The 21,021-nt window shown below is 35.1% G+C and overlaps 1 protein-coding gene and 1 pseudogene across 4 annotated transcripts in view; both read right to left on the reverse strand.

Moving 5' to 3' along the window:
* The window catches only part of ANTXR2 (ANTXR cell adhesion molecule 2), a 172,327-nt gene that overhangs the window by 147,035 nt on the left and 4,271 nt on the right, over nucleotides 1-21,021 (reverse strand). For all 4 annotated transcript variants that reach the window (NM_001286780.2, NM_001286781.2, NM_058172.6 and 1 more), the window contains exons 4-7: nucleotides 7,752-7,833; nucleotides 7,180-7,287; nucleotides 6,970-7,038; nucleotides 6,092-6,172 (exon numbers count right to left, since the gene is read on the reverse strand). In NM_001286780.2, the coding sequence (NP_001273709.1) occupies nucleotides 6,092-6,172; nucleotides 6,970-7,038; nucleotides 7,180-7,287; nucleotides 7,752-7,833 (340 nt within the window). The remainder of the gene's footprint in view (nucleotides 1-6,091; nucleotides 6,173-6,969; nucleotides 7,039-7,179; nucleotides 7,288-7,751; nucleotides 7,834-21,021) is intronic.
* LOC124900918 (uncharacterized) lies at nucleotides 8,809-8,925 on the reverse strand (annotated as a pseudogene).

Consider the following 21,021-nt stretch of genomic DNA (forward strand, 5'->3'; position numbering starts at 1 on the left):
AAAACTTGCATAGATTTTATTTACTTATAATTCAGAAATATGAATTAAGCAATGACTACTTACCCAACACTAGATTAAGCATTAGGTAAAAAAAAAAAAAAACAAAAACAGGAGTTGGGGCAATACAATTTCAACCTTCATACCATTAATGTGAAAGTTATTATAATGAAATACCTCATCTACATTCAGCGCTAATGATCCTTGGACAAAGAGAAGCCTAGAATAATCTGATATACAGTTATTCTTACATTATAGCCAGTCCTTTTTAACAGGAGTCCTGAAAATTGGTTTCCAGTTTTGAGTAAGTCCTACCATTTTTGTTTCTCCTATGAATGTATCTTTACAGTTGCTCAGGCTTCAGGTTTTTCATCAAACCGTAATTTTACAAATAGAAGTTTTCACAACTAAGTGGTCAACATTCATAGCAGAGTGTGCTAAAATCACTTAAGCTAAGGTATTATCAGAGTGTTTATTAGGTTCCCTCTTCTATGAAAATGATTTGCCTTAAGAGAAAATGTGTTTGCAATGTCTTCTCATTCCATTAAAATATAGTGTTAGACAATATAAAATATAGTGTTAGACACTTTTCTTCTTAGATATTTTTCTAAGAACAAACAACAACAGACATTGCTGAGAAAAAAATTCCACTCCAAAAGTGAAATGAAGCTTATATCTCCAGCACTATGAATGTAGGTACTTTTTGAAATTTCACTTTTCCCTTTAGAAACTATCTAATTCAGGTTTATTTAAATGTCCTAAATGTATGGATGATCGTTCCCTTCCTATTTATGCTTGTATACTTTCCCATTAAAAACTTAGAAACTCTGGCATTAACTACCATCACCTAGGATGTAGTGTTCTCAATTCTTTTGGACAAGGGTTATTTATAAAACATGCTTCACAACTGATTTATTTCTTTCTGCTTAATACTTTCTGAGGTATTCTTAAAAAAAATGTGGGAATAATTCCAAATAGTGAAACATCCCATGGTCCTGTTTTTACACAAGGAAGGGCACAGAACATTTTGATTTTTATTCTTTCCATATTATTCACCAATCTGTGGTTTTCTTTTATTTTTAATGTTATCTTCCATAGTCTGCATTATGAAACATTGAACTAGAACCCACAGGGTACTCACATCTCAGTCTGACCTTTACTAGTTCAAATAAAATTTCATTTTCAAATATAAGTCATGCAATCACCTTCCCAAGAACACAAAAATAATTTAACATTCCAAGGATTTAAAGATAATCTGAAGTGGAAAGTGAAAAAGAGAATATATATATGTGCTTGTGTCTGTGGACAATGGGAGGGGAGAAAGAAAATGAGGAAGCATAATGACAGTAGGGTTTTCTAGCCTTTCCATTCCACCTGGCCTCTAACTCCCTAAAGGATATCCCCCACTGGGCTTTTGTTCTCAAGCTCAAATCAACTTCCCCCTCTGCCCTATGCCTTCTTCCATTTTGTACAATAACCCTCTTGTCCCCTCTGTAAAAACAGTTTTTGCTCTATTCTTAGTCATTCATCTTAGTCAGGGACAGAATGCCCAAGTTACTTTTGACTCCTCTCTCTGTCTCTTGAACCCTATAGCCAGTGAGCTCTCAAATTCTACTAATATTTTAATGCTTCCCAAATTTAACGTTTTACTTCCAGTTTCACTGCCCATCCTAATACTAACAATAATTAACATTTGACAGCTAATATTTGCCATGTCTCTCGGAGCCCAGCTCAACAAGAGTCAAAGATTTTATACCTGGAGGTTTAGCCCCACCCTGTTCCTGACATGATGCTTGCCAGAATAAAGAGGTTATTAGGTGCTTCCCTCATGATCCTTGACCTAGTTCCATTGCGAAAGACAGAATCCCAGTGCCAAGAATAATCCCTAAGGAACTATGATGATCCACTGTTTCTTCCAAAACTACTGAGTTTCTTCTCTGAATTTCTAATTAGTACTATAAGTCCCACCACAGGAATTGTGTCTCTCCTCTGAATGTGCGGTCCAGAAATTCTACATAGCTTTTGTCATGGGAATACTGAATTTTGTTTCCAAGTTGTTGGCTAGGTCCTGATCTTACGGCTTGAGGATTTAATACCAGCGCACATCCAAATGCTTGACTTTGTGTGCTACACTATCTAAAAATCCTTGTTGTCATGACTCACATCCTAAATTTGATCCTCTTACATGTCAGTGCCATGTCCTTTTGTACCTAAGACCTTGTTTAAGTAGATTGGGGGTCATCTCTCTCAGTGGACTGCCCGACAGAAGGATCAGGAGCCCCATCATTAGCCCTGGGTTAGTTTCCTGCCATGCCTAGCTTTCTACCAAATGATTTAAAGCCAAGCCCTTCTAACTTAGGTCATTCTCAATTGTTATCTCATTTAATTTAAAAAATAAAACAACAAAATGGAAATCACTATTCCCATTTGACTGAGGGTTTTAAAACTCAGAGAAATTACATTGCCGGACATACCCCAGGTCACTTGGCAAGACAGAGTTGGAATTCACACCCAGGTTTTCCTATTCCCAACTGCATTTTGTCTCCACTATGCTGTGCTTCCTTTCATCGTGTCTCACAAGGATGACAGCAAAATACTTATAACACATCATCATCTTCCAAATCATCTTGTACATTATTATAAGAGTACTCTTCCTAAACCTGCATGGCCATTATATAAATCCCATGCTCTAAATTAATCTTCGATAATTTCCTACTTATTTATGAAATATGAGCGCATTCTCAAAACAAGTATGTGAAAGTCTCCATAATCTGAATCCACGCTACCCGTCAATGTTTATCCCCCATACCTCCCATGATCCTAGCCAAACCACATTCCAGCCTACACCTCAGCCAGTCAGCTCAGATAGTTCTTGAAGTTCTGTGCTCTTTGTTTCTCATTAAATCTATCCCAATTGTCAGAGTCCAGTTCAAATTTCACAATGAAAGGCCTCCCATAACTTCGCATAACTAAACCCATCCTGTCTTTATGTCACCTTACACTATAGGCATATTGGCATTTAACACCAATTGCGTTATAAGATTATTTCTTATCCCCTAAGGTGACTCACTGAAATTTTCCTCCTCTAAATGTCCACAATGCTTTGTAAATCTTTCAGGGGACTACCATACTCCAAACCTCAAATAATCATTCATTTCAAGCCCCTTTAGAGAGAATATGTCTTATTCAAGTTTATATCCTTCTTCTAATCATAACACAATGCCTTAAGAATAGTAAGGGCTCAGTAAATGAACTAATGAAAGAATGAGCTCATTGAGGAAAAAAAGGAGAAAAAGAAGAAATGTTTCCTTCCAGTATATACTTGAGATAATGAATTACAAACCTTCATATGCAACTAGCTAAGATTGGAAATTACATCAATATTCCCCAAAACTGTTACATACCATGTTTGCCTGGATAGAAATCTAAAAATACTAAAACAATGCATTTTCCCCAAAATTAAAATAGAATGCTTAAGTGATTTTCTGGATCAAATACATTTTAGAGAAGGCATTAAAATTTTAACGTGCAGGATGTTCATAACAAAGGCCTTTTTCAGCCCCTTGATTTTTGAGTTGTAAAAGCAGAACTACTACAGTGTTTCTTCTTTTTTTTAACTACCATGAAGAAAGGCTCCAAAATAAAACTTTCTTAATCTTTGCTATTAAGAAATTAATTCTAGACAAATGATGTCTTAACAATATATGATATCTTACATTAAGGGGACCAGACTATCTTGGTCATTGGATTTTAGAGGGGAGAGAGAACAAACAAAACAATAAAAACCATGTTGTCAATTTTTTTCAAGGATTAACTTCATAAAAATTAATGCACTGACAATGAGGCCAGATTTATTTAAAAAACAATGAGCAGGAAAAAAAATTATCAATTTAGCAAATATTCTGCCTTCATAGTGCCACATATCTGAAAGACTTAAAATTTTTTATTTCTTCTATTGGCTTAGCTTTATGTAAATACATTCCACAGTATAATTTCACCCATTAGTTTGATAAATCATAAAGAATAGAGTATAGTCTCTTCTATCTCTCCTAGCCATGTGACAGAAACACTATATTTGTTTTAAAGATCTAATAGATATTTTTAAAAATCAGATGGTACTATGCAATTATAAAGTCCAATTCAAATTTAAGGCAAAATTATAGGTTTTGTATACTATGAGGGATGGAGCAATCTTTGCCCTTGAAAATACATGAAAGTTTACATTGCCTTTAATTTCTACAAAGTGGGCAAAAATCTCAAACTATCAATCACGTTGATAAAAATCTCAACCATTAATCAAACCAGGTTTGGTTGTAATGGCTCCTTCTTTCCACCTGCCAACTCTGCCAGATACTACGATGTTTCCCCAAAAGGTGACTTTCCTAAGAATAATTTACTCTTCCCTTTGTGAGCACATAGCTGAAATTTAACTGTATTGACATGAAAACTATACCCATGATCTCCCTCCAAACAACACTCAAGAGATTTTGTTGGCAAATTGTGGCTAAAATAATGCAAATTTTCCTAATTTCATGCTAAATCTTTCAACATAACTTAAGTTAAAGTTCATCAAGAACTTTAGGCAAGAAAGGCCATACTTAGAAGTTACATTCTAGAGGTTCCCTAATAAAAATAGAAAAATTAAATGTATCCAACAAACATAATAAAACAATGATAACGATGTCATCTGGAACTCAGCTACTAATTCCTTGAAGGGGAAATCTGTAGTTATTACCCATAAAAATAGAGTTTTGGAAACAATCCATCATCTGGGTAATTCTGAGCTAAACCTTTTAGATATTAAAAAAATCCAAAGGAATAGCCCAGAGAGGTCCTTTCTCCTTCCCAGTATAATTATAAAAATCATTACAAATCCCAGAGCAAAATAAAATTCTATTTAAAATACAATCCACTGATTTGTTTATTTAGAGGGTCAAATTATCCTCCTTTTTACATTGTCAGTACTGTATCCTGTATTTTAAAACTTAAATCACAGTTGTATCAGTTTTATTTATCCTGAATCCAGCTATAAAATTATTTACTATTTTTACACTGCAACTATTCCCTAAAACCTAAACACAACAATATATGTAAACTACAAAAATAATTGAATCTCTGTTCCATTCTGCACTTACATTTGGTTTGTCCACTAGATGTACTGATAAGTGATGAAACCAAATTATGTTTTCTCTGAAAAGCTCCATTAATTTTTTTAAAAGCCTACGTGCTACTAAAAACAAATACAATAAATCTCATTTTGTGTTTCTAAACAACATGATCTTTAAAGAGAAATTTAAAATCCCAGAACCAAATGTTAGAAGAAACTGATATTTTTTCCCCTGAAGATTTTTTTTCAATGCTTTGGCTTAGAGAATATATATTATTCACTTCCATTTTAGGATGGTGTTTACCAAAATATCATAAATACTTAATAGCAACTGTTCCCAGTGCTTGTAGCAAAAGGCAGTAAAATGAAACATAAACCTCAGCTATGAAAGCCCAGGAGTTTTGCTTTGCATTTCATCACTCTCCTTCCCCAAACCCTGTTTAGGATAGCCTAGATTCTAATGATCACTAGAGACAGCACAACTGAATTCCAAACAGAAATATTATGTGCTCTAGTGAAACTATTAATCATTTAAATGGAAAGAACAACAAATGTAGTCAAATAGCCACTAGTTCAAGTTGCCTGACTGATATAGTTAAAACAGATACTATATTTGGAGAAGGGAGTAATCACACATCAATCCAAATTTTTATTTTAAATTTCTCCTATAAAACCTATAAAACTTTCAGGATATCAAGACAGTTAACTCCAGAATCAAAGGGTGAAAGTGTCTGAGACTTAAAATCTTAAACTTGAAACCACAAACCCAGTCTCACAGAGCCCAACATGCAAGAATTAATACCAAATGTCAGTTACAAACAAAATTCACATCTTTAGAATTACACTGTTTGCAATACCAAACAAATCTCTTCCTTAATCTCTTTCCTCTAGATAATGACCACCTGCACTGGATATTAAGATTACTTCTTATAGATTAAAAAAATATACAAGGTTATGAGCCCTTCCTGCCCCCAGAGAAATACTCACAGAATTAATTATTCCTTTAAGAGCCTGAAATCCACCTTTGACAGGGAAAACTTGCTCCTTGGAATCAGCAATTCTTTCAAGCTTTAGAAAGAAGAGGAAGACTTAATTAAGGAGTGGCTGACACATACAACAATTTATAAACTTCGTTACATTTCAGTTATGTTCATCTGAAAAATTACCCCACAGGATTAATTTACCAGCGTGATCTGTGTTCAAGGTCAGGAATTAAAGGTGATGATACTAGTGTTACTCTAAATGTATTACCACAAAATGAATTGAGATCAGTCAGAGTACCTTTAAGTTGGCCCCAAGTGCAATTTCAAAACAGTGCAGAGGAAATCTAACAGCTATCAACAGCGTGACTCAGGAGTCTAAGCCATGCTCAAGCAAAAATTTAAACGTAAAATAACTTCATGAGTGAAACATTTTCAAATATATAAACCCTCAAATCTCATGAAAAAAATGGTCTTGTAAGAAAAATGATCAGACTTTCATTAGATGGACTTTCATTAGAGTCAAATTCTAAATAAAATAGAAATTCTAACATTATAATAATATGACTACATATTATATATATAATATAATAACATTTTGTCAATTGAGTTAAGAGAAATATGTGTATCATTTCAAGCCAAATGTTTACCTTATATTAGTTTACCAAACCAAACAATTGAGAGATTTAAAGTTTCATTTTCAGTAACAAAACCTATTAAAATTCTTACATTATTAAGGTAGTACTCAAAACCTACAGCCATTTCTATAAAAAATCTTTAACAATCGACCAGTGTCACAATGTCATCAGTGAAAAGAATTTGTTAAACTATCCTTAAGACAATTATGTGGTTCAGATTAAAGTTTGCAGATCTCTTGTAACTTACCTGTGCTTGTTCAAAATCAAGGACACCAACACAATAAACACTAGCCCCAAGTGACCTGGATATCTTTGCCTATGGAGAATGAGGAGGGAAAGAGAGAAAAAAAGAGAGGGGAGAGGGAGAAAGTGAATTATTCAAATATCAAGCTATACATTCCGAGACACACAGCGATGTACAGTGGGGTGTAGAGAACAGTCTCAGTTCAATACTCACCTCTTTCTCTGCATATGATGGCACCAGACCGTCCAACTTGCCATCTGTCAGAGCAATTATGATACTGGAGGTTTTCAAGCCTCCTGCTTTCTGAATTTGTTCATTCGCCTGAAAATGAAGAATAATTATCCAACTCACAATTTAATTTTAACTTTTAACCAGCATGTTCCATCAAGCTGAATTTGTAAGTCTGACAAAATCAAAATATTACTGGCTAGCTTTTAAAACAGGGTAATTTGTGTTAACTATTTTATTTGAAATATGCATATATTCACATTACAGAGTAGTTACTATTGGGTTTAAATTATATAGATTTTTAGCTGTGGCTGCTTAATCTTAATATAACCACAAGGGAAATGGAAAATTCCTTAAAAGGCAAAAGCCATCTTAACTTTTCTCATCACCATAGTAAATAATTTTTTCTACTTGTCTCAACTCTGGAACAACTAAAAGCACTTTAAAAACTTTAAGATAAATATGTAATGAGGTTACTGAGCTTTGCTAGAGGGTTTTATTTCACCACAGAATAAGAAAGCATTCTCTCCCATATTTACAAATGTAAAATAACTTACTAGCTTTAGTCCTTCATGGATATATGTCTCTCCTACTGGACTAACACGTTTTAAATCCTCCAAGCCTTTACTGATTTTGCCTCTGAAAATAATATTAAACAAAAGAAAAAATGAGCAAAGAGCAAAGGTAACAATAAACACTTCTTAAAAAACATGGCAGTATTGTAACTAAGCTTTCTTCAGTAGGAAGCAGAGGAAAGAACATGGGCTTTGAAGGCAGATAACTTCATATACTTTTTGTAATTTTAGTAAGTATTTAATAACTTCTGTATTTTAACTACCAAAAATAGACATTGATGTGCTAACAATGTCTTGAAAAATCTTTGCATATTCTAGGCCTTCTGAGCTGAGAACAGATATCTTCAATCACTCGTTTTCCTAAAAGGAGTAAAATATACCTTCCCTTATCCACAAAAATACAAAAATTGAGTAGCTCATCTTCAATGACAAAGCATTTCTGAAACACTCACTCCATCTCTCTAAAAGTGGGAAATTTTCCTTGTTATCTGCGAATTGCTAAAGCACATTATTTAGCCCTTATTTACAGAAATTAACATTTTTTCTTACTGTCTCCCAGAGTCGTAAGTCTCATGATTTATTCACTTTTATGACACCTTCTCACCCATCCAGACATTCCCTTGCACATTCCCTTGAACATAGTAGGTACTTAATACATATTTCATGAATGAATGAAAAAATAGGTGGATGGATAGATAGATGGATGAATGTATGGATAGATGGATGAATTAGAAGGTAATGAATCCTTGGAAGAGACACTATGAATGAAAGCAATTAAAAACTATAGAATAATTTCTTTCATCATGACTAATTCACTATCCCAACTGAATTTGTCTAAATGGGGTATGACTACAATATTATTAAGAGCTATTTTATGTGTATCAGTTAAGGGAAGTCCCAATTTTTAGAGTTTTTAAAATATAGATTTGAAACCTCTCGAAAATAAATAAAACCAATTATCTTAAAAGATAAGTAAAATAATGTGGCAAAATTATCCAAATTAAATTCAAAACTTGTTTTATAATAAATTTAAAAGATAAGAAGATATCTTAAGATATTGTTTTCAGACTTTTTCAATAGAAGCAAAAAAAATGCCTTTTTAAACTGGTGAGAATGGATACTACACTTGATCTTAACCAAAAGGCTGAGAAGTGATAAGAAGTGCCTTTTTAAATGTAAAATTCTTGAAATGATAAACTGAATTAGAAAATTGTAAATAACACATGAAGAGTACTCACTCCTACTGAGGATGATAGATGAAGGAGATTAATTGTAAGAAGTATCATCTTAACATCAAGGAACTTACTGGGGCCATACACAACATTTATATAGGTACATGTGTGTATACGTTTATATCACATGCGGTTATAAAATATGTCAAAAATAATTTCAAAACATTTTGTCATGCTGCAATATTGTGTTTCAAATAATTGAAATAAATAATCCATTCACCAGAGCCTTATATACGTTTTAAAAGTAACTTCTTGATTGTATTTTTATATCGCAATAAAAAATATTATCAGGCAAGTTTTCCATCTCATAAAGTTTCCAGGTAACAGAAGACAATGTTCAAGGTATGACCCTAATCCTTCTCTTTCCTGGTTCACTCATCTCTATTAACTCTTGCTAATTGTCTTTTTAAATATTTGGTTTAAAGTCTACCTATTCTGAACCATTCTTTAAGTTCATTACACTCTTATTCTGAGTCACCCCAAGCTTTCTAGTCATACTCATATTCATGTTTTACCATAATAAAAAAAAGTTCTCTCCTAAAAACATTCAACTTTCTAATAATTTAACTAATTTAATTTAAATATTCACTTTTCAACTACACTGAAAGTTTACATTAGGCTATTACCATGTCTTTTATTTATGCTGTATTCCCCTGCTCTGTACTTATTATAATGTCATTTGCAAAGTAAGTGTTCAATAAATTTTTCAATATATCATAAAAAAATTATAATTCCAAGGATGATAGCATAAGTTATGTAATTCATAAGCTTGTTGTATCTAAAATATTTACGTTTGATAGCTACAGAAACAACTTGAAACTGATTGTGTCTGAATGCAGATAAAAGTCAAATATTTGGTGCTTTTCAGAAATGAGTGGCAGTGTGTCTTTGAGCATTAGTGTTTGCTGCCAACAAGTGAAATGCAAGTTTACACAAACAGATTTTGCATAAGACAGCCTTCTCCATTCAGTTCAAATCAGCTCACCATTGCTGCTGAGTCCCAGACAACACCAGCACAAGACTTTAAGCTAAAGGAACTTCCCAAACGTGGATTCAAGGTTTTTTTTTGTACAGTCAGGTATCTGCTAGCTTATTACACTGGAAGAGAGACAGCAGTTTGCGGTTTTTCTATCTGTACCTATACCTGCACCATAAGATTCCAAGCTCCACTCAATCCCATCATTACTTTTGCAGCTGCATGATCCTAAGAGGAAAGTGCTCCTTTTCCATAGCCAAGAAAAACACATGTGAGTCCTGGCCTTGTACTCCCTTCAGGGTAACTACCTGAAGTCTGTCAGCCTCTTATCAATCAACAAGGTATCACTTTAGGGGAAACAAAGGCCAAAACAAGACAGGGCAGACAGATCTCAGACCCTTGAAGAATCCCAAGCAACTGAAAATAAATATTAAGTTTTTCAATTGGTAAACAGTTAACGGTGAAAAAGCAAAATAATGTGGTAGGTTAAAAACAGAAATCATTCATCCCCACTGTAATGTTAAAAAAAAAAGCCTCTAAATGAAAGCGAAAATGACTAAAATTTTAAGAACAAGAAGAAAGAAAGGTTATGTTATAAAGATAAGTTCAACTCCTTGAATTCAACATCTTAGAAGATCAGCTTCACTGAGTTTGGCTTTCAAGTTATGTCTTCAACTACAGGGAACAGCAATATTGAAACTACTTTGTATTTGTTGTGAAGCAGTTGTCAAGGATGCTGCTGTCATGACACGCATCGTCCCCTATAACATTTCAAAGCAGAAGTTTCTTTGTCACCCCCAAGTAGTTGCTATGTACTTCCTCTTTTCTGCACTTGACAACCATGCAAACTTATTTCTTGTCCTGACTACTGGGGAAGCCCACAGTAAATTTCTTACTCATTCACAAAATTCTGTTAAGTTCATGTGGTTATCATAGTGTTTCATCCCCTTTTCCAAAATTTTAGCACTCTTCTTTTTATATTTTATTAATTTTCTGCAACACTATTAATTTCTATGCAGCCTCAAATACTTTTTTGAAAGAGACAGGAATTGAACAAACAAAATGTTATATTAAAGCCCTGGTTTTCTTTAATTGAGAATTGGGGGACCAAATTCCATTATCAACTGGAGGGAAAAAGAGAAAGAGAGGAGGCACACAAACACCATATATATATATATGGTGTTTTCCTCGCTTTCATTTAGAGGCTTCATATATATTGGAGACAGAGTTTCACTCTGTCACCCAGGCTGGAGTGCACTGGCACAATCATAGCTCACTGCAACTTCAAACCCCTGGACTCATGCAACCCTCCCACCTCAGTCTCCCAAGTAGCTGAGACTACAGGCATATACCATTATACCAGGCTACTTTTAAATTTTCTATAGAGATGTGGTCTCACTATACTGCTCAGGATGGTCTTGAACTCCTGGCCTCAGGCAAGCCTCTCATCTTGACTTTACAAAGTGCTGGAATTACAGACTTCAGCCACTATGCCCAGGCTTGGCTAATTTTTTAATGTATGAAATTAGCACTTTCAGCTCTATTTGTATCTCCCTAATTTCTTTGCTGAGAAGGGCAGGGAAGGGAAGGAGAGGGGAGAAGAGGAGAGGAGTGAGGAAGGGAAGGGAAAATAGCCACCACAACTGCCATGCACTGTGCCATATCAGTAGCTTTTCTCTGAAACACTTTGGATGTGGAAGGTATGCAAGGCATTATAACTAAAATAAAGATAGACTGAAATCATGGTGTCATAAAACAGTCTGCAGGGAATCCTGAATTGACCAACTAACAATGAAGGCATAATTTTATTTTCAGTATCTCCTACTTTTTCTTTCTACGATGTGTCTGTACAGTACTTGAACTTTCCAATGCACATTGTCTTAACTTTCCAGATTTCAAAGCTCTTTCAGGATTTCAGTCAATGAGTCTACACTCATCTGTTGAGCATCTGTTGTATGTGAACACCGTGATTCTACACAGTGATGTGAGAATTCCTCACACTCAGTCCAGGGGTCACTCACATAAAGCTCTATATATGCACTGTGGTTCTCCACCCTGGCTGTACACTGGAATCATTTGAGGGGATTTTCAAAAGCTCTTCTGGACTCTATTTGAAGAGATTCTAATTCACATGTTTGTGTTGGGTCAGGGTTATCACTGGCCTTTGAAAACTCCCCAGAGTATTCTAATGCGCTGCCAGGATTAAGAACCTCTGATCTAACCTAATTTTAAAACTTTCTTGTGTTATTGGAATGCGTTTTGAATTACCTATTTTGCCAGTCATTGCTTCTGTATGAGAGTTTTGGGTAAATAGGATAATCTCTTAAACCATAAATAGTTTCTGGGATGGTATGGATGAAGATGTGCATGAGCTTATAGACAGAATAGAGATTAGTTCCAAGCTCAACCTTGTTTCTTCATTTATAAAATAGGAATATAAATATCTCCCCCATGGGGCCACTGTAAGGATTCATTACAGTATATTATTATAAATGTCCTATTTTGTTATTAGTTATGGTTGTTAATCTCTTACTGTGCCTAAATTATAAATTAAGTTTTATCATAGGTATGTATGTATAGAAAAAAATAGTATATATAGGGTTTGGCACTACCTGTTGTTTCAGTCATCAACTGGGGTTCTTGGAACAGATCTCCTTCAGATAAGGGGAGTCTAGTGTACCCCAAAATTAGTGGTTATCAGCAAAATTGATTGTTTCTCATGGCACTGTGCATTGAATGAGCAGTTCTCATGCTTCACATGCTGCCAGTTGAGCCACTGGAATGGCTAGAAGCGGAATGCCTTCACATGGTTAGCAAGTCGGTGCCAGCGCTGATACTGGCTGTTGCCTAGGAGTTCAGCTAAGACTGTTAACCAGAGTCTCGATTCTCCTCCACATGGCTAGGTTGGGCTTCTTCCTAGCATGGTGGTCTCAGAGTAGTCAAAGTTTTCATATGACAGATGGTTTCCAAGAAAACAATAGAGGAAACTACCATGCCTTAATAAATCTTAGGCCTGGAACTCAAACTGGCAGTTTCATGTTCATGTCTGCTGCATTCTATTGACTGAAGTAAATAAATCGTAGGCCTAGACCCAGATTTTAAAAAGTAAAAAGTGTGTGTGTGCCTCTGTGTGTGTGTGTGTGTGTGTGTGTATTCTATGCTTCATTGGAAGCCACCAAAGAAATAATCTACCACTAAAACAAAAAGCCTCACACACTCATGTTGTCAAATGCCAATTTATATAATTGCAGGAATACTATAGGTATTTATATCATAAGTAAATTATTTTCTTTACTCTCAATAGATTATTAGCCACAGACTTAATCTGCTTGAAATAAACAGTAATTCCAAAACAAAATGTAGCAATACATAAGGATTTTATGATAATTAGCCAATTACACAGCATCCTGAAATGTTTCTTTTAGGGTAAAATTTAATAGATTGAGTAGAATATGAAACGAAAATGTTCTCAAGATGTTATTTATGACTATACAAAATTGCTAATGATTTATAATTCACTTAGAATTCACTTAGAATTGTACTTTACCTGAGCTATTGCATATGAAGAATTTAGTAAAATATGTAATATATAGTAACTGCTCAGTAAACTTTGATACTTTTATTGTCTCCTTCCATTAATAAACCACAAAATTAACCTGAGTAAGAAAAATAGAAAAAAACTGTATGAAGAGAAATATGTTCATTCATATATACCTGCTCTACTTAACTGTGTTACTATATACTACTGCCCTACATACTGCTTAACGGATGAACCTCTAACAAGTAATTTGTTCTCACCAAGTTCCTCAATTTAAAAATTGTTTAAAGGTTTCAAATGAGTGAAAGATTTTTTCTAAAGACACACATTGCTATTGCTAATACATTCTAAAATCTTGGGAACTAATGGGTTTTAGCTGTATCTTACTATAGTCTATGTAAAATATGCTTATTGTTTATTTAACATGTCATTCTAATGCCAACATAGGCCAAGGCTTCTGTGGTCCAGAGTCCAGACCAGCAAATCCAAGGTAGCAGTCATAGATCCAGAAATATCTGCTCACAAAATACCCTGTACAATCTGAATTTTGTCAAAAATATTCTCCAATTTGGCCTGCACCTACCAAAATGTGGTACTCAATTCACACCTGAAGTTCAGGCCTGCTGCGTTTTGCATACTTTTACTCCATTTTCCCACTCACTGCCTTACTAAATCATGAAAAATCAACCCCTGCATTTTACCACTTCCGTGTGCCAGGTCTGTCTCCCAGGCATGAGTAACAATGTACTTAATTTTCTAGAACATGCTCATAAAACAGATGTGGGACTTCAGCGAAAGTGACTGCTAACATGTCCATCACTAAAATCTGAGTTGCTGCCCTGCCTGGACCCCTCAGGTTTAGCACAATGTGTGGCCAAAACAGACTTTTCAAAACAGGAGTAAATACTTGCCTAATGGAATTTTTTTTAGCTAACCCAACTATTGTCTCATCTTTTCACCCCCTCACTGGTTTTTAAGAATAGAATAAATTTAGGGAATGACGATGTTTTTGAGTTGTGACTAATTCTGACTGATTGAAAACTGGAGAAGGAGAACCCAGAGAGTGTGAATACAGTGCGGTGGTGAAGTGCTCATGCACAGCATCAGGCCTGGGTGTGAACCCTGGCTCTAGCTGCTTAGCTGTGTCACTTTGAGCATAGTCCTTTGATTTCTTTAAACATCTGCTCGAATCCTGATACATCATGATGAAAATAAGGATGGTGTCCACTGATAACTGCCAAACCCCATGTTAGCCTTGGCCTCCTTCCTATGCAATCATCAAAGCAACAGCAAGAAAAGAAAAATGAAAAAAAATGAAAAACTATAAATGAGAAAAAATTAAAAGGTAGTTAGTTGCAGGTAGGCGATAGAAGCAAAGAAATAAAAGTGAATTGATAAAGTTATAAATACCCATTGTGTTCTCTTTATGTGTAGAACCTTAGTTAGTCCTTCTCACACATTATACTTTTCTCAAGATTGCTGTATGGTAGGAATAATTCACTCTTATTAACTGGCCCAGGAATTGGGCAGCAAGAGGGTGAGTAATTTGTTAGAAGTCACACAGCTAGTATGTAGCTCCTATGCCTATTCCACCCAAGGTCCAATTCTGGTCCTTTCATTAACAAAAAACCTCAGGACTCTCCATAGTAATGGTTGAATATGCTCTATTCCTGAATGCTTCTTGTTTCCAACCTCTGAATTCCATTTTGATTCCAAGATAGTAACATTAATTTCAGCATTTTTTTTTATAAACAATACATTCTTGTTGAAATAAAATCAAACCACATATATATATATAAATTAAAATTGTGAAGGTTTTTTCCACCTTCAATATCATGCCTAAGACAGTGTCATTGTTAACAATTTGTTGTATGTTCTCTAGACTTCTTTTCTTGCATTTTCAATCACATACACCCCCCTCACCATATAAACAGTTAGGGATTTTGTTTTCTTTTTATTTTATAAAAATAAAATCATACTAAGAGTGTCTGCTACTTGCTTTTAAACTTAGTATATCTCTTATATGTTCTCTTGTAAATATGTACAGACTTTCCTATTTCTTAATAACTGCATAGTATTCCATCCAATGTATATGTTCTAATTTAATTATAGTATCATCAATTGATAAGCATTTAGATTGAATACAGTTTTTCACCATTATGTACAATGTTGCAGTATCCAATTTTGTATTTAGACCTACCTTTCCATGCTAATGCTAGTATTTCAGTAGGACATAGTCCCAAAAAGTAGACTTACTGAAAGGAACCTTCTAGACTTTTATAGATACTACCAAGCTTCCTCTAAAATGAATGTACCAATTAATAAGTTACTTACTGTATATAAAGAACAATTGTTCCACAAGTAAATTTTTAATTCAGCTTTTAAGAAATTAGAAAAAAAAATTCAAATAATAGAAATGTGTATATTGTCCAAAATTAATTAAGTGACTTTTCTATAATTTCCTACAAGTTTGCCTACGGAAGATTTTTTTCCCCAAGTAATTGATTATTGTGCTCAGGTCAAACAATTATAAGACATTTTCAGGCTGGGGGCAAGTGTAATGAAAGGGAGTCATAAATATTTATAACTGATTTGTAAGAGTAGGAATAAGAAAAATAGCAAATATAAGATTATTTATTATGTGGTATAATCACAAAAAAAGACAATCTATGATGGCAGCTAATAACTAAGGTTCTGAAGTCATATCAGCTCAATCACTCATTCAACAAATATTTATTGAGCATCTACTGAGCATCAGGCTCTGTTCTAGGTGTTGGGATACATGGGGGAGCAAGACAAATGAGGACTCCTGCTTTCATGTTTACATTAGAGTCATCAAGATAAAAATAAATTAACCAACAGAACCACTTGAAAATGTGATAACCAAATATAGTATTGTAAGAGATTACTGGGGAGGAGAGGTGGGGTTCCTTTAGACCTGCTGGCCAGGCAAGGCTTCTCAGAAGATGTGGCATGTAAGATGAAACCTAAATGAGGAGAACGAGCCAGCTAGGGGCAGATCTGCAGCAAAGAAAGAGCAAAGGTCCTAATGTGGAAACAAGCTCAGTCTGTTCAGGGAATGGAAAGAAGACCACTTGAGCTAGACTGTGCCACATGATGTTGCAGGAGAGGACTGGCTGGGGCACTAGGATGGGGCGTTTAGGCCTTTGGGAAACACTGGCTTTCCAGTCTAAGTGATGAAATTGTTTTAAGCATGAGAGTGGAATATCGGCTTTAACTTTAAAAGATTATTGTAGCCAATATACTGCTTGCAACTTGTTAACTGTGTGTGCTTGGACAAGCCGCTTTATCATTGTCAGTTTTGATTTCTTCATTTGTAAAGTCGAGGTAATAACAGTATCTATTACAGGAAGTTCATATGAGGATTAAGTGAAGCAATGCATGGAAAGTATTTTGCACACTGCCTGGTGCATAATAATTGTTCAATAAATGTTTTCAACTAAATCTCTGTTACAGTATTAGCATAATATTTAACAGAACTGAGCTTAATTCACTATCCCCAATTATGCAAAATAATAACTAAAAATACTTTTTAATTAGTCTTGATTCCAAATTCTCTACTGTTGAAAGGCTGGGTATTTCCATACTGAATCAACACTTGGCATTTTTCTCTTACCTAACCCTATAATACATCCCTGGGCTATTTATGTGCATGTGTATACCTCTACTCACACACACACTAGATTACTTATCTTTGTGTTACCCCAGGTTCCACAGTACTCAATGCATTGAATATAAGATAAGCAAGTCTTTAGGTAGGTGGGTGGGTAGGTGGAGGAATGGACTAACAGACATATGGAGGGTAAAAATCATGAGAGCAAGAGAAAAGAAGGCAGTGTTTCAAATTAAAGTATTTAAAAGAATAAGGTTTTTAAGTTACGAGTATATAAAATGCATAACATCATTTTTTGGCATGTTTATTACTTTATTCATGCATTTACATAGTACCGGATGCCATGCTGAAAGCATAACAGAAGACACAGCCCTACGGTAAGTATTTACTACCTTCTAATCTTGCCTCATCTCTACTAAGAATCTTCAGCAACACTCTGAGAAACATGAAAGAGCTACTTATTTACCAAGATTGTGAAGAATTATGAGTGCTAGAAACAAAATTGTGAAACCTGCAGTGCTTAACCTTTGGTTTTCTTTGCTTAACCTTTGCTTTCCTCACACACTCTGATCTATTTGTGATTGTAATATATAACATCAAGATTTTAATAGTTTATATGCAGAATTCCAATTTCTAGGCTTTGAAACAAAGATTCACAATAGTTGTGGAATCATTTGTTTACTGATCTGCATATAATATGCAAATTGTTTCTTCACACTTAAAAGTGTGTAATGGAGGAAAAGTGACCCTATATCCAAATATAGAGGACCACAGAAACTTGAGAAGTTACTGATTTAATTAAATAAAATTAGTAAAATAGCAATATAGAACAAGAAAATAATGTCCTTTATTGGAGGTTGTCCTATGCTATACAAAGGAACTTTATATACATTATCTTATTTTGATCTTCACAAAAACTCAAATATGGAAGATTTTATGTCCTGCACCTTATGGACATAAAACTGATACACTGTTATACAATTTGCCCCAAGTTTCCAAATCAGTCAGTGACAAAACTGGAACTCTAGCCTAGGCATTCTCAGTGTTATTTTCTGCCACCCCAAACTAATTAAAAATGCCACAAATAGTGAAATTTATTAAAACTTAAAGTGTTTATATTTAGGAAGAGACAGAGGAACCAACTATGTATAAAACAAGTTGCAAGTAGTGTTATTAAAATTCCTTTTGGAATATTATAAATCCTTTTAAGAAGGGCAATATTTTCTTTATGTAAGCATGATTCTTCTCTGATCATTAAAATACTGTATACTGCCTAGCTCCAGATGATAATAATAGTGATAAAGCCTTTATCTCTTGAAAACTTATATACCAGACTCTGTTCTAAATACTTCACATTCATCAACTTTCATTCATGTAACAATTTTATGGGGTAGGTATTACTATCATCATCATCATCATTGCCGTCATTATATAGATGAAAAAAGAAGAAGCATAAAGAGGTTAAGCAACTTATCCTTGACCATTTGGCTAGTAAATTGGAAAGCCAGGATTTACACGCAGGTAGATTTGGTCTAGTGACTCTTAGCTGCAACATTATGCTGCCTCTTTAAAGAAAGGCCTCTTCTGGTGAGGTGCAGTGGCTCACGCCTGTAATCCTAGCACTTTGGGAGGCCGAGGCGGACGGATCACGAGGTCAGGAGATCAGGAGATCGAGACCATCCCGGCTAACACGGTGAAACCCCGTCTCTACTAAAAAATACAAAAAATTAGCCGGGCGTGGTGGTGGGTGCCTGTAGTCTCAGCTACGCGGGAGGCTGAGGCAGGAGAATGGTGTGAACCTGGGAGGTGGAGCTTGCAGTGAGCCAAGATCATGCCATTGCACTCCAGCCTGGGCAACAGAACGAGACTCTGTCTCACAAAAAAAAAAAAGAAAGAAAGAAAGGCCTCTTCTGTAACCTATCTCAGTGTCTCCCCTATTAGATTCAACCAATGATGAAAGAAGAATCACTAACGTGGGTTAAAGATTTAAACCCCTTCCATGCGTATCTAAGCAATACCAATCTGGTCACCCAGTGACCTACACTTCATCTTCAAAGTGCTGAGGAACCATATGCAAAGTGTCTAGCAAAGAACCTGGCACAATGTTTGCAGCTATCAATGACTGAGAGTTTCTACAAGCCTGGCATGATGCTAAGTGTTTTTCTATATATAGGAATGCCATAAATGTTAAAATGGTTCTTTTTTTTCTGGATTGGCTAGATACAAGGCTGTTTCTTTGGAAATTAAGCTGGGCAATGGAGAAAATTTATTTTCATAAAGGCGAGAACTGTTAAATCACTGAGCATAGAAAGCTGCCATACACGGGTTGTGGACTACCATGGCTCTGGCTCCTGATGAGATTCATTCTCATCCACACAAGAAAGTAAGGAGGGCCATTATCCTCAGCAAACTAACACAGGAACAGAAAACCCAACACTGCATGTTCTTGTAAGTGGAAGCTGAACAATGAGAACACATGAACACAGGGAGGGGAACAACGCACACTGGGGCCTGTGAGGGGTGCAGGGGAGAAAGAGCATCAGGATAGATAGCTAATGCATGTGATGGGTTGATAGATGCAGCAAACTACCACGGCACACGTTTACCTATGTAACAAACCTGCATGCCCTGCACATGTATCCCAGAACTTAAAATTAAAATTAAATTAAATTTAAAAAGAAGAAAGAAAGGAGAAGTATCAATGGGAAGACAAGATCCTAGGCTGCACTCAGCATCTGCAGGGAGATTTTCCTCTCTAGGAAAAGGAAAACTAAAAGCACAAAGATTAAAATCTTATACGGATAATTTTCTAAATCAATTAAGTGAATTATAAATAAGTTCTCTCCCCCAGTTCCTTTAGATATTATGATTTCTTGACCTTTTCAAGGGAAAACTTAATTTACAAAAAACTGTTTTTACAGTTAACTTTTCAGAAATTCACATATCATGCAAAACAAAGTACACCAGCTTCCCTTGCTGAAACTACAGTTCAGAAAAATTTTATTTCAAAATAACAGGAAACCACTCATTCATTCATTCAACAAGAATTTATTGACCAAAAACTGGCTTACATACTCTGTTAAATAAAGTAGACATAAAAATGAAGAATAAAAGCTCCCTCCCACTATGGATCCCATTCTTTAAAACATGTCAGTGAGGTGGGGTGTGGTGGCTCACACCTATAATCCCAGAACTTTGGGAGGTCAAGGCAGGCAGATCTCTTGAGGTCAGGAGTTCAAGATCAACCTGGCCAATACAGTGAAACCCCCGTCTCTACTAAAAAAATACAAAAATTGGCCAGGTGTGGTGGCATGTGCCTATAATCCCAGCTACTCGGGAGGCTGAAGCATGAGAATTGCTTGAACCTGGGAGGTGGGGGCTGCAGTGAGCCAAGATAGCACCACTGCACTCCAGCCTGGGCAACAGAGAGAGACTCTGTCTCAAAAAATAAAAATAACATAAAATATATCAATGACTATTTCTAACTTGTCATTGACACTGTTTGAATGACACAGAAATGGTCATATGAAATACTGTGACATTGGTCTGAAAAAGACACCTTTTAAAAAACACTAAGGAGATTAAATAGATAGGTAGATAGATATAGAGATATATTGGTATACATATTGATATATACTAAGTTCCCTTATAAAGGTGAATATATTCAGCATTAATGGACCTCAGAGAAAGACCAGAAATCCAGGATGTCTACTGAATCTAGGAAATTATCCAAAAGGATCCATATCTTTCTCCCCCTCAATGTTCTTCAAATTCCTGGTTGATTAATATATTATATCTAAACAAGAAAAATGTAGAACTACTTACAGTAACAGAGAGGCCGGGGAAGGTAGGAAGTGGTGAATATACAACTA

Source organism: Homo sapiens, chromosome 4 (assembly GCF_000001405.40).
Source record: "Homo sapiens chromosome 4, GRCh38.p14 Primary Assembly".
Taxonomy (NCBI): domain Eukaryota; kingdom Metazoa; phylum Chordata; class Mammalia; order Primates; family Hominidae; genus Homo; species Homo sapiens.